Source organism: Homo sapiens, chromosome 7 (genome assembly GCF_000001405.40).
Source record: "Homo sapiens chromosome 7, GRCh38.p14 Primary Assembly".
NCBI lineage: Eukaryota > Metazoa > Chordata > Mammalia > Primates > Hominidae > Homo > Homo sapiens.
In genome coordinates, this window is record NC_000007.14 from 116,148,670 (window position 1) to 116,162,285 (window position 13,616).

Here is a 13,616-nt window from a genome sequence, read left to right on the forward strand (position 1 = left end):
AGTAGCTTCAATAGGAAGAGGGAAGACATCAGCAATTTTCTTCGGGAATGTTGAGTTTGAAACATCTATTAGACATCAGTGTGTAGATGCAAACCAGAAGTTGCACAATTTAGTCAGGAGCTCTGGAGAAAGGTTTTTCACTATAGATGTAAATCTGCGAGTCATTCACATAGGGTCGCTAATTAAACGCACAACACTCGATGAGATCATCAAGAGAAGGACTGTAGATACAGAAAAAAAAAAAATGGCCCAAAGACTAATCTCTGAGAAACTTTAAGCGATCAGGGAGATAAGGGTAAATGGATCCAGAAAGAATGATTGATAGAGTAAAAAGGAAAACCGAAAGAATTATGGTGTATCCAGTTAAAATCTTTGAAACTGACAAAAATGGCTAAGCATCCAACTTAATGAACTGAGAAATAGAATAGCAGAATTGCCTCTGAAAAAGAAGGATGAAAAAATAATTATTAGAGCTGAACTCAGTAAAAAACAATGCAAATATAAAGTTAAAACCATCAAAAAAGTTAGTTATTAGAGAAATAACAAAAATAACCTCCAGCAAAGTTGACCAAGGGGAATAAATATAATTCACAAATACATAATGTAGGGAATGAGAGGGAAGACATAACTAGATGCTGGTGAGAGTTAAAAAGATATTAAAAACAAGTTTACACCAATAAATTTGAAAGCCCAAGTGAAATTAAGAAATCACCAAAGACATAAACTATTAGAACTGAATCAAGTAAAAGCAGAAAACTATTATAGTCTTATTAAGGAAATTTAACCAATAGTTTAAAATCTTCCCAAAGGATAACCCAAGGCTTCTATAATTTTATAAGGAGAATTTCACAAAAATTAATGGAAGAGATTATTCTGATATTATAAAAACTCTTTCAAAGTTTTGAGGAAAAGAAATTGTATTCCTCAATGTATTTTTATTGCCTGCAGTAAGTACACAGTGGAGAAAATTAGTATCATTGATGAACAGAGATGGAGATATCCTAAAATATTTATTAGCAAATGAAAACCAGCAATGTACAATTAAAATAATAACTCATGAAAAAGTAAAGTTTATTTCTGGCTTAAAATTGCTCCCATTGTCCCAACTCCTGCATTCCACATCCAACTAAATAAAACAAAAACTCTTAATTTTCAGCCTTTTCTCCTGAGATCAGACAATAAAGAACTCCGAGACATTAAGTGTTCATCACTGGACTCAGCTATTAAACATTATTTCTTCATGTAGTTTGTCTTGACTCTAGGCAATGGGGCATCCATGCAGTAAACTCCTTTACAACAGTCAACATAAAACCAAATGGAAATTTGACAAAACCAAATATACTTTCTCCTCCCTATCTTGTTTCCCCACCAAGTAAATTCTGAAATTGAGAAGTTTGTTTCTGTTGGCTTTTAACCTCCAAATAATTACATATTCCAAAACACCAACATCTTTTTCACACTTAATCTAAAATTAACTTTTAACAACTATAAAAGTATAGTTGTTATGCTTTGTTTGCTTTCATAGTTTTACTACTAGTCTTGTATTTCTTACTTAAAATTGCTCAGTGTTAATCAGAAGGCCTTACTTCTGTTTAAGCTCCTCTTCTTTGGGTGGTGGAACTATAAGTGCCCATTCTCAACTTCACTCTATTTTCAAGATTTTCAATGACATGCATGAATTATTTTTACAATAGAAAAAAATTATTTAGTAAATTTTAGAATTCAGGGAATAAATTGCATTAGAACAGCTGGGACACCCAATACAATATTGAATACATGTATCAACACTGGACATTCTTGTCAGTTTTATTTTGGAGAAACTAGAACTATAATTCAATGGCATTAAAAAAAATAAAATAAAAACTATGACCTACCTTTCTGCTTGACAACCAAACCACCACAGTCACACGGTTATATATCACATGGTTGGGGATATTAAGGAAAAACAACAGCAACAACCCTGGCACCTACTCTTCAAATAAAATGCTTGCATTTTTATTGTCACATTGTTTTCTTGCAGAGTGTATAGTTAGGGGAATGCTATTTTAATATTATGCTAAAGGAAGTGAAACTAACACTTAAAAATTCATAAGAAGAGTTTTCATGTTCTTATATTAGCATTCAGAGGTAGAGTAAGGGTGATTGGAAGGCATGTGAGTGTGACTCAAACCCACATCATATTTGTTTATATTAAAATAATGCCTTCCTGATATATGGCTTTATCCGGAATCAAAGTGCTAAACATTAATTTTTGTATGCATCCCTCTTAAATGACTATAATTAATGTAAAATCAGGATTTGGAGTTCTAAAATTATGAATTCTAAACATAATTTAAACATAATTTTATCCAAACCACAGTATTCTCATTGGTCTCCTTTAGAAAGAATGCAGTGCACTGTTTAGTGAGTTTTTCTGGCATTTCACATGCTTAATCAGTAGCATATGAAAATAAAGAAATATGTGAGAAAGTCTGAATTTCTTTTAAAAGAATGATCAATCTTAAATTCAAAATAGATTTCTTGTAACATTAATCTAAACATAGAATATTTCCTTTGATATTATGTCAGATTTTTTTTTTTTTTTTTTTTTTGAGATGGAGTCTCGCTCTGTCACCCAGGCTGGGGTGCAGTTGCACGATCTCAGCTCACTGCAACCTCTGCCTCCTGGACTCAAGCAATTCGCCTGCCTCAGCCTCCTGAGTAGTTGGGGCTACAGGCACCCACCACCACACCAGGCTAATTTTTGTATTTTTAGTATAGATGGGGTTTCATCATGTTGGCCAGGCTGGTCTTGAACTCTTGTCCTCAAGTGATCCGCCCACCTCGGCCTCCCAAAGTGTTGAAATTACAGGCATGAGCCACTGTGCCCAGACCTAGCTGTTGAAATTTTTATTCTTCAGTTGGATTTTTCTTCTCCTTGTAGTAGGGTTTGTTTTTTGGTTTTGGTTTTGGTTTTTTTCCAAAATGAGAACTTGTTACAATGGAATTTTTTTTTTCATTCAACAGGACAAATATGCTTATCTCTTAATATCATTATAAAAATTTTTATATTTGGGAGATTTACATTTTAATGGATGAAATAATGCATGGACATATCTAGTCTCAGATAATATGAAGTGACAGATTTAATTGGTTTATAAAATACTACTGAAACCTGAATTGATTTGTTTCACTGGGTTAAATATTTGTTTTCCATCCATACTAATTCAGGAAGCACCTTGGATGTAAACAAAGATAAAATTTCTAGAAGATTTTTCATTTCTTCCCAATACAGGAAGTAGAATAGTTTAAACAAATATAAATCTCTCTGTGACCACTTTTTCTCAAAAAAAAAGGTAGTAAACCCTTTCTTATTGAGGGTGCAGAGTAATACTCATCTCTCCAAGTACACCTAGATTAAACTTTGAATTAATAAAAAAGTGGTATTTAGGAGCAATTTGCGCAAAAAGTTTAGTTCAGTTAAAAAATGTCAAGGACTCCCATTGCCAGCCAAGATAGAAGAACAAGGATCATATTTACCCTCATACCTTAAACAACTAAAAAGTCAAAGAAAACATATGAAACAATTTTCCGACATGGAACAACAGGCACCACAGAAGCATGATCCTGATAAAAGAAAATAAACTAGGGAATAAACCCAAGAAGAGGGGATCTAAACAGAGTCCAGTGTTCTTTTTGAATTGAGAAGACAGAGATGAGAATTTGGGAGGCTCAATGCAGTTAGAATTTGCAGGGCAGAGTTTACCAAAGTAAAAAGAGCTGCAAAGAGAAGAAGCTCCTGAGATCTGCAGAGGGTTCCCCTAGAGTCTTCAAGCGGGTACTGATCAGGGCATGTGTGTAAGCAAACTACATGAGACCAGGCAATGACTGGAAAGGAGCAGAAGGAACAATTTCCAGAAATCACATAAAGCTGGGAATGGTTATTTCCAAAAGCCAGAGGGGAGAAATATTATATTACACAGGACATACATCAAGAAATGTACTCAGAATCGTATTGCCTTAGTAATGGAGACAAAACCAGCCTCCTCTGGTTCCACCTAGCAAAGTTGAAAAAGTAGTTGTGAAAGGATAAATATGTTTCTGAGCGACTTAATTGCATCCTAGAGCAAAGCTCAAAAATATTTTCTTAAAAAAATACTAAAAATTCCATAAGCTCACAATGGTCGATATCCAAGCAAAAATTATTAGTCATGCAAGAAATTAGGAAAATATGACCAATGAGAGGGAGAAAAATCATTCAACAAAAACTGACCAATGAATGAAGCAAATGACAGAGATAGTAAAAGCACATTAAAACAGCTACTATGACCCCACACCATATGTTCAAGAAGGTAGAGGAAAGCATAAGCATGTTGAGGCGAGCCACGAAAGATATTTTTAAAACCTAAATCTAAGTTATAGAGGAAGAAAGTACAATGCCTCAAATAAAAATTATACTGGACAATATAAATCCCAGCCTGAAGACTGGAAAAACTTGCAAGCAGGAAATACCAACAGGCTGGACAAATAGCAATGACATCCCTTATCCTTTGAGCAAATTAGGTTAGGCAGTGGTGGCGATGTTGTGGGTGTTTTTGTTTTGTTTCGTTTTGTTTTGTTTTTTTGAGACAGAGTCTCGTTCTGTTGCCCAGACTGGAGTGCACTGGCGCAATCTCGGCTCACTGCAATCCGCCTCCTGTGTTCAAGGGATTCTCCTGCCTCCGCTTCCTGAGTAGCTGGGATCTACAGGCATGAGCCACCATGTCCGGCTAATTTTTGTATTTTTAGTAGAGACGGGTTTTTACCGTGTTGGTCAGGCTGGTCTCAAACTCCTGACCTCGTGATCCACCCACCTCGGCCTCCCAAAGTGCTGGGATTACAGCGTAAGCCACCGTGCCCAGCTGGCTATTTTTAATTTCTTTGTTGTCACAGTTGTGGTTATTGCTTTCTGTTTTGCATTCCTCCTCTGATCATTCACTTTACCAGTAGTAATTAACAATAATTGGACAAAGAGGAAAAAAAAAAGCTCTTCCTTCCTTTACTATTTTAGCAAACCAAATAAAATGTATAATGAAGTAAAAATTTTAAACCACTAGGTAAGATTGGAATGAATTGGACACTGCATAAAAAAAAGATTAGGAAAGTTAAAGAAACAGCAACAGAAATTGTTGGACAAAATTAAACAAAGACAGAAAAAGACTTAAAAAATTAGGAGGACACCAGTGAGCTGTGAGATAACTTCAAGTGGCCTGATAACACATGTAACTGGAATCATAGAAAAAGGAAGAAAACAGAAAAGTGTCCCCAGGTTTTAAAATCTCATGTCTGTGACCCATCTCTTAAAGCAGGGGATTAGATGAAATTGTAAGGAGAGAAGAGTGTTTCTGCTCTTAGTGGTAAAGTACACAGGGCCAGCTAACCATTGCCTTGAAACAGACATTAAGAGGACTGTTCTTTAATTTTAGTTATGCATCTTGAACTCAATGGCCATTCTTCAAATGATGCTAGTCTTCCTATTCCTTATAAACATCCTCCCAAGTTGATATATGTACTGGGTGACCTATGAAATGAGAGGGTGAGATGCATAGAACAGTCCAGGCTTAGAGAAAAAAGAATTTTTCCAGGCTCTGAAACTCTGTCGATTTCAAATGCACCTCCTTTTCTTTCTCTATCTCCATTCCTCACTTTCTTCAGATGGAGGCTTTACTATCTCCTGGTATATCACTGAGCTCCTATTCAAAATCACTTTTGAAGGAGTACGTAACTAACATGTACTCCTTCAAGAGTTTCATAATTCTTGAAAGCATGGTAGGAATGATGGCATTCATTCAGGTATATTTTTATTTATTCAAAATCTTCTATGGGTTAGATGCTATGAAATGGACTGGGAATATATATTAATGAACAAGGCAGATACATTCCTGATCCATGGAAATTACAGACTGCCTAGAGAGATTGGCATTGCACTTATAATAGCATTAATGAATATATAATTCTTTAAGATATTAAGTATTAATATTTGCATCAGCCTAATTCCTTTCTCCCAGGTTCTGTTTTATTATCACAGGAAACCAGATATATCCCTGCAAACTCTATCTTCTAGAATTTTTTGCCAATTGACTTCCAGTTTGGTTTGGCCAATAAGAGGCATTGGTGCAAGATTAGAGGGTAGTAGGAGGGGAGAAATCGCGGATCTTCCTCTCTTGGATATTAATTCTCTCTTTGTTTTGTGGTGGTATCTCTGAAAGGGACTGGAAACCTTTCACAGGGGTCTCAGCCTTGGCCCTGGTTTTTCCTCTTCTGCCATACTATCCCTTGCCAAATTTTCCTCTTTGGTGGTTCTAGCCCCTGCTATGCACCCCCGGAAGTCACAAATACATTCTCAGTCTCTGAGTTACCTCATTTTCAGTTGTTGCTTTCAATGCTTTCACCAGTTATGTAACCAATTCTCTCTATTAGATTCACTCTCCTTGAAAGACCTAGTACGATTTCTGTTTCCCTGACTGAAACACATCATTCTGATGAATGCTACATATGTGGTCCAATGAACATACAAATGGGAGATCTAATCGATTCTGAGGAATTAGAGATAGCTTCCTTAAAGAACTAATATTTAAACCAAGAACTAGAGAATGAATAGAAATTAGCTAAGGGAAAGGAAGCAACCACAGCCACATGATCAAACATCACGTTTATTTAAGATATCGAAGGACTATTTTACAAAAGGCAATTTCTCGCTATGCTACAGTTGACATATTTCCACGTCGTACTTCTTACTGTGCCATTGGGCCTACAGCAAACCTGCCAGCATCTACCTCAGATGGCTAACTCAAAGGTTTTTTGTTTTTGTTTTTAAAGTTGATCCCATTAAACTCAGGCACATTTTGCTTTCTACCAACTCTGATGTCTTTGCAGTGCCAGGAAAAAAAAAGAAAGAAAGAAAGAAAACACTTCTAGGGAGAAATGTCCAGCTGTGAATGCTCTTATGCACTTGCTTTTAGCAGCATCTCCAAAGCACGGTCCTCACTTGCCATCCTCAGGCCACATGTTTAATCAGGACTGTTAACATATCAAAAAGATTAGGTTGGCTGACTGAATGACTGCTTCTATCTTTCTTTTTTATAACATTCTTTGTCACGGGGCTGCCTAATTATTAAGATCTACCTTACCAATAAAATAAAATGCCCTGCTTTTCCCCAGCTCTCAGATCAGCTTTACTGATTTTCTTTTTCTTTTGTCCCCAATATGGCTCAGCACAGCACCTTTACTGATCCTTTGATACTTTATGCATTACAGAGTTTGGGGCGTAAATTTTGATTTTTAAAAAATATTGCATTAATATATTATTTATCTTGATTTCTGAGTTTTTTGTTTTTGTTTTTTGTATTCCTTTAAATTTCATACCTGAGGCAAGTGCTTCATACTCCTGGCCCTGGTCCTGATGCTGAAGGAGTCCTGGTTACTCCCTTAAAGAATCTTAGCCTGTGCTGACAGCAGAGTGGGACACTTATGTCTACACTGCCCCAGAGGCTCCCAGCCATTGGAAAGACAGAAACAGCAGGAGGGAGAGAGGGATTTCATTCTCTTAAATCATATTCAAAGACAGCTCATGGAGCATTCTTGGAGCAAAGCATGGAGTGTAAACAAATTTGAATATTAGACACAATTATTTCTGAAACATTTGTCTCTAAAAATATATATCATGGGTGTCAAATAGATTCTAAGATAAAAAATCTATTTTTTTAAAATAACCTTCATATCAGTCCTACTTCTAAGATTATAATCAAACCACAATTAGCAAAAGACATTAAAAACATAGGAAAACAAGATATTACAAACCAGAGGAATAATTTATTTCATGTGGGCTTCTCCATAACTACACCCATCCTCAGCCTTGAATCTTTTCTTGCAATTTGGCCACATTGAAATGGCTTGTGTGTATTTTAAGCTATCTATTTTTTTGTGTGTGTGATTCTTTAGAATTTCTACTTGATTTCTCAAGGGCTTGCTTTTACAGTTCCTAGATGTAGTCTACAAATATGCCATCTTCCATATCAATGTTAACAGGCCTCCATTTAATATGAATAGAGCCCAGAATGTGAGGCTCCTAATGTTTTCTTGTTTGTACACGGTAAAGGCATTCATACCTTCATCTCCTCATCTCCTAAATGAAGGTTTTGGACTAAATGGCCATTAACATACTTTGCCATTTTCACATCCTGTGATCAAATAATTCTGTTCCACATATACATTTTATACTATATGGAAGGCTTAGCTTAAGTTGACCTTATTGATACTTTTTTTGTCTTACCTTTTGTTTAATACTGAATTTTATTTTGAAATAACTACAACTAAAATGGAGCACTTGGAAAATGATTTGTGGACTTCCAATCACAGCAAGAGTTTGGATTTCATACATTAGGCCTCCGATGATCTTTCCCATACTCTCTTATGTTCTGTTTTAAAATTGTATCCTTCTTTTATCATATTCCCTAAAATTTTCCTATATCTCAATGCTTTGATACTTTCACATGCAGAAGAGTGAAAGCATAGCACTGCTCACATTTATTAACAAGCATTTATTTTTCCTTTGCCCCCTTTCTTTCCCGCTTTTTTTCTCTATTCTCTTTTCCTTTGTCTTCCTTTGACTCACTTTTCCCATTTTCTCCTTTCCTCTTCTTCTTATTTTCACTTATGACAGTTAACATGGTCCTAGATGTTCCAAAAAAAATAAATAAGTAAGCACAAATAACATTACAAATTGAATTTTATTCAACAGTTAAGTTATGCATACTAAATTTGATGCATATAGAATAACACAATAAGGAAAAGGTATTCCAAAACTGAAATGGGTTTGTGATTATAACTAGTATATGGTGACTGAAAGTAAGTTTAGTAGGGAATGAGCAGTCTTGAGAAAAATGGAAATCAGGATTCTAAGGGAAATCAAAAAATAATATGTTGAGTGTGGGGCTAGGAAGTGACTAGGAGACGAACAGATGCAAAAATGCCCACATTATCTTTAGCTCTTTTTAGGGAAGTTGGACTCCTGACAACTCTTCTAACTGTTGCCTTCCCTTAAAGCCTTCCCTAGGCATCCCCAAATTCAATGGTCCAGGCCCACTTTGTTTTCTCACCTGTATTCTAATACAGTCACACACAGAACTTCTGTCACACCGAAGGTACTCATTCACTTGCACATCTGCTGTCCTGCTTCCCACTAAACACCAGTCCCCTGGAGGACATGGCTGTACATTATTCGGCTTTGAATTTGAAATGTGGCACATATCAGACACCTATCTTCAAATTCTCTGTCCCCCGTTTACAATTCATGCAGATACACACAATATTTCTTTTAATATTTCGGAGCCACAATCTCCTTATTTGTAAAATTAGGAAAATACTACCCTTTATTGTGTTATTCTATATGCATTGAATTAAAATAAAAGAGATAGGTTTAAGCTTCCCTTAAAAACTGAATAACTACCCAAACTTTTGTTTTTGAAAACTTAACACATTTTTGGAAGAGGCATTCTCTGAGCATCCTATATTTGTCACCTAAATTTTTTCAGTATAATGCTATGAAAGAGGTTTCTGGTCCATTTTCGAGCCTATAGAGTCTTTTTTAATGACTATTTCTCTTTTTTCCCCCTCATCTTCAAAAGTAATATCAGCTAAAACTCTTTGTAGCTTTAAATGAGCATTACAGACTAGAAAAGAAATACCTAAACTGAGTAAGCCAAATTATTTAGTTGTGAAAAATTATGCAAACATCTGAAGCATGAATTCCCTCTTCTTGTCAGCTTTACGTAATTTAAGCAACTAACTATATATCTAGCCAAATTTAACGAGCTCACATCTTAATTATGCTCACTAAGCCATTTATTTTTTTATTTTCTCAAAATTCTGGCACAATTCTCAAAATAGCGAAAAGTGTGCTGATGAAAATCAATGATATCCAAAGGAAAAAATTTGATGTTCTGAAGTACAAAAATATATTATGAAGTTTGGTTGTGCTCTCCTTGCTTAAAGTACATAATAATGGATAAAATGTTAGGCTTTTTCTTTCTTTTGCAATAGCATATTACTATAAAAATGTGATACTAGGTCCCACTATAATAGCACAAATCCTATTTTGTAGTATTTCACAAATCCTAATTTAATATGTGAATTGAAGAAGACATTTTCTTATTATATTTGCTTTTGTTTTTGATATTTGCTCATATTAAAAAGATGAAGTAACAAAAATGTACAAAGATTTCTTCATTTTTGTCCCTAAAAGATTATAAAATGTTTTGCTAATTTATTATATAATTTGTCATGCTTAAGCAATAATGAAAATTAGTTTTACAAATATGAGTTTGAATAACTTGTGTTTTATACCATTCATATATAGTTCAACTGACTCACAGTTTTTATATGTAACTTAACAGTTTTTATATGTAAATAACTCATTTACTTAAAGAGCTATCTGAAATAGGATTCAACATGATACAAGAAATAATAAGTCACAAGTGTATTTACACTGATAATCAGAAATAAATGTCTCACTTTTACTAAATTATGAAATTCAAATTTATGTATGCCCTACTTTAAGAATATAGAATTTTCAAATTTTCAAATTTATGAAATATGTTTTTATCAAAAATATACTTTATAAAATAACCATTTTGTCTTGTGTTTTTCTGAGATGATTAATCGATGCTAGATTAATAAATTCTACATTATATATAATAATTATATTTTCAACCAATTCTTCAGAGACATATATATTGCATAAAAGGAGAGAAACATAGTCTCGCCAATTCTCTATAAACTTCAGCGATATTTGAAACCATTTTGCACAGTCCAAAAAGAGTAACATTTAGAAGTCTCACAAAGCAGTTATCCAATTTACCATTTCCTTTTCCTTCTAGTGAATTCACCAGTGAAGCATTATAATCAAATATCATCCATAAAAAACAAATAGCAGCATTAAAAGTTTTATCTATTTCTAACTTTTTGAGCTAATGTAAGTTAAAAGTTAATAATCTTAAACATTTAAACTAAGTTGAAATTTATAGCCATATGATTTTAAAGCCCAAAATACGAGTGATTTTATACTTTGTAGTTCCAATTAAATAATTCAGAGGAAAAATTACCTTTGCTGGTGGCTCAGGCGAAGAATCCGTGAGACTCAATCTCTCCATTTGTTTTGTATGTACCATAAGCATTATCTTTCTGTTTACTCCCACTTCTCCTCTTTTTCTACTTCTAAGGGAGGCCAAGCTATATAAACCATGATTTAGTTCCTCTTTTTGATGTTACATTCATTTCTCATATTTTCGTATAATGGTAAAGAGGAGGAGTAATATTTATGAGCTCATGATTTCAACAAATTGCAATTACAAACACCAGTCCAATTCTTTACTTTTTTTGCTGTATGGAATATTTTATTATTTTATCAACAACTATCTATACACAAATAAAAGTTACAGGTGCTTAATAGAAAAAACTGAGTAGCAAGCACAAATTTAACTGTGCCATAAGAGGACAATATTGCCACTGTTAGGTGAAAGCCCCTGGGAGAAAATAAATTGTCCCTCAATCATCATAATCTGGCTTCAGTTTCTCTGGATTTTACAAATCCTTCCTAGAGAAGTCAATAAGTAAAACAAAGCAGGAAACACTGGGCTTACCACATTCAGAGTCTTGTAGGGCAAGTTGGTTATCACCCCGGGAAATAAAAAGAAAGAAAGGGCAAAAAGTGTGTGTGTGTGTGTGTGTGTGTGTGTGTGTGTGTGTGAATACGTGCATATGACAATTATTACCAGTGTTGACCACTTCACTCAAATTCAATTCTTCTCTACTTCTAGCTCACTCAGAGTTAGTAGTGGCCACGAGTCTAGTTCTGGTCAATGAAGAGGGAGGGCTGAAACACTTTCTTGCCAGTGCTTGACTCTACAGCTCTCCTCTGCAGCTGACTCAGTGATCACCAAAGCAGGTGTCCAGATGGAGCGTCCATCAGCTCAGGCCTCAAGTGGTTCTGATGAACAAAGCTTCCTTATAAGCTATGTTGGACTCGTAGCATAAATGAAAAATAAACTATTTTATTAAAACTACTGAGATCTGGGGGGTTGTATGCTATAACCTAGCCAATTCTGACTGACTCAGGAATGAAGTTATAATTAATATATTTTGAAAAGCAGTGTGCCATTTAACATCCATATGTAGAACAACAACAATATCCTCTGCTCACTCCGGTATAATACATGGGCTACCTTCCCTCTAGAGCGGATATGAGGAATAGTAGTATGAGAGAATGGAAAGAGGAGAAGGTTAGAAGATCCGGATACTTGTCTAAAGTAATGCAAACTAATTAGCAGCAGATCTTGGTCCACTCACTAACTTGTATGCATTACTGTGGACAAGTCATTTCAGCACTCTAAACTCAAGTTTCTCATTTGTAAAATGGAGACAATAATAGCTTCTCTGTCTTATAACAAAGGTGAGTATCAAATTTTTGTGTGTTGCCATTACTAGATCATAGAAATATATTCTATTCTTCTCTAAATTCCCAATTACCTAGTAAAATATCTTACAGTACCATAAGTACTAAATAGGTGGTTAATAATTAATGGCAAATTCTATTCCAACAATTATGTAAGCCTTTAACTAATGTCTAACTCTGATTTATAGAATACACTTACTTCTTACCATGAGTTCCACATCAATGGATGCAAACAATCATAGAATGAAAATGTTTGGAGAAAAAAACAATAAAAATAAGAAAATAACAAAAGCAATATAATAATTTTATTTGTATTTTTATTGTTAACAAAAACAATAAGTTTATTTCATTAACAAAAAAATTCAAATAAAAATGTATAACAATTATGTTTATAGCACTTATATTATATTAGATATTATCAGTAATCTAAAGATGATTTAAGGGGTCCTGGAACCAGTATCCTGCAGATACTGAAGGACAACTGTATGTGAGAACATGTTCTTTATGAAGTACCTTGCTAGCAAAGTGTTTAATTACTTTTTAATGTGTTAAATACTTATTAATCATCTACCACATGTCAGGCACTGTTCTAAGCATTAGAGGAGTGAATCAGGGAACAAATTAGACAAATTATCTGCTATGATGGAGGAAAATAGACAATGATAGGCAAAGGCTGTGTGTGCTAGAAGGGGGGAGGAAAGGGTGAATCTGATAGATGGCCAGGAACCTCCTTGTTAAGTTGACATTTGAGCAGTTAATTGAGTGAAAGAATGCAAACCATGTAGGTACTTGAGGGACTGACATTCCAGGCAGTAGGCACAGCATGTGTAAGGGCTCTGAGGTAAGAAGAGTATTCTGGTGCTTAAAGAATAGCATGATCATGTCCTTTGCAGGGACATGGATGGAGCTGGAGGTCACTATCCTTAGCAGACTAACACAGGAACAGAAAACCTAATACCACATGTTCTCACTTATAAGTGGGAGCTAAATAATGAGAACACAGGGACACTTAGAGGGGAACAGGACACACTGGGGCCTTTTGGATGGTGGAGGGTTGGAGGAGGGAGAGGATCAGGAAAAATAACTAATGGGTACCAGGCTTAATACCCGGGTGATGAAATAATCTGTACAACAAACCCCCATGACA

The 13,616-nt window shown here is 34.8% G+C and overlaps 1 protein-coding gene across 13 annotated transcripts in view; it reads right to left on the reverse strand.

The window, feature by feature from the left end:
* TFEC (transcription factor EC) overlaps positions 1 to 11,227 on the reverse strand; it is a 224,745-nt gene extending 213,518 nt beyond the window's left edge. For 9 of the 13 annotated variants that reach the window (XR_007059992.1, XR_007059993.1, XM_011515970.2 and 6 more), the window contains exon 1: positions 11,121 to 11,227. The gene's annotated coding sequence lies outside the window, so the exon portion shown is untranslated. Of the gene's footprint in view, positions 1 to 1,874; positions 2,019 to 11,120 lie in introns of those variants that run through there. The other 4 variants (XM_047420053.1, XM_011515965.3, XM_047420052.1 and 1 more) reach the window with 1 other exon arrangement.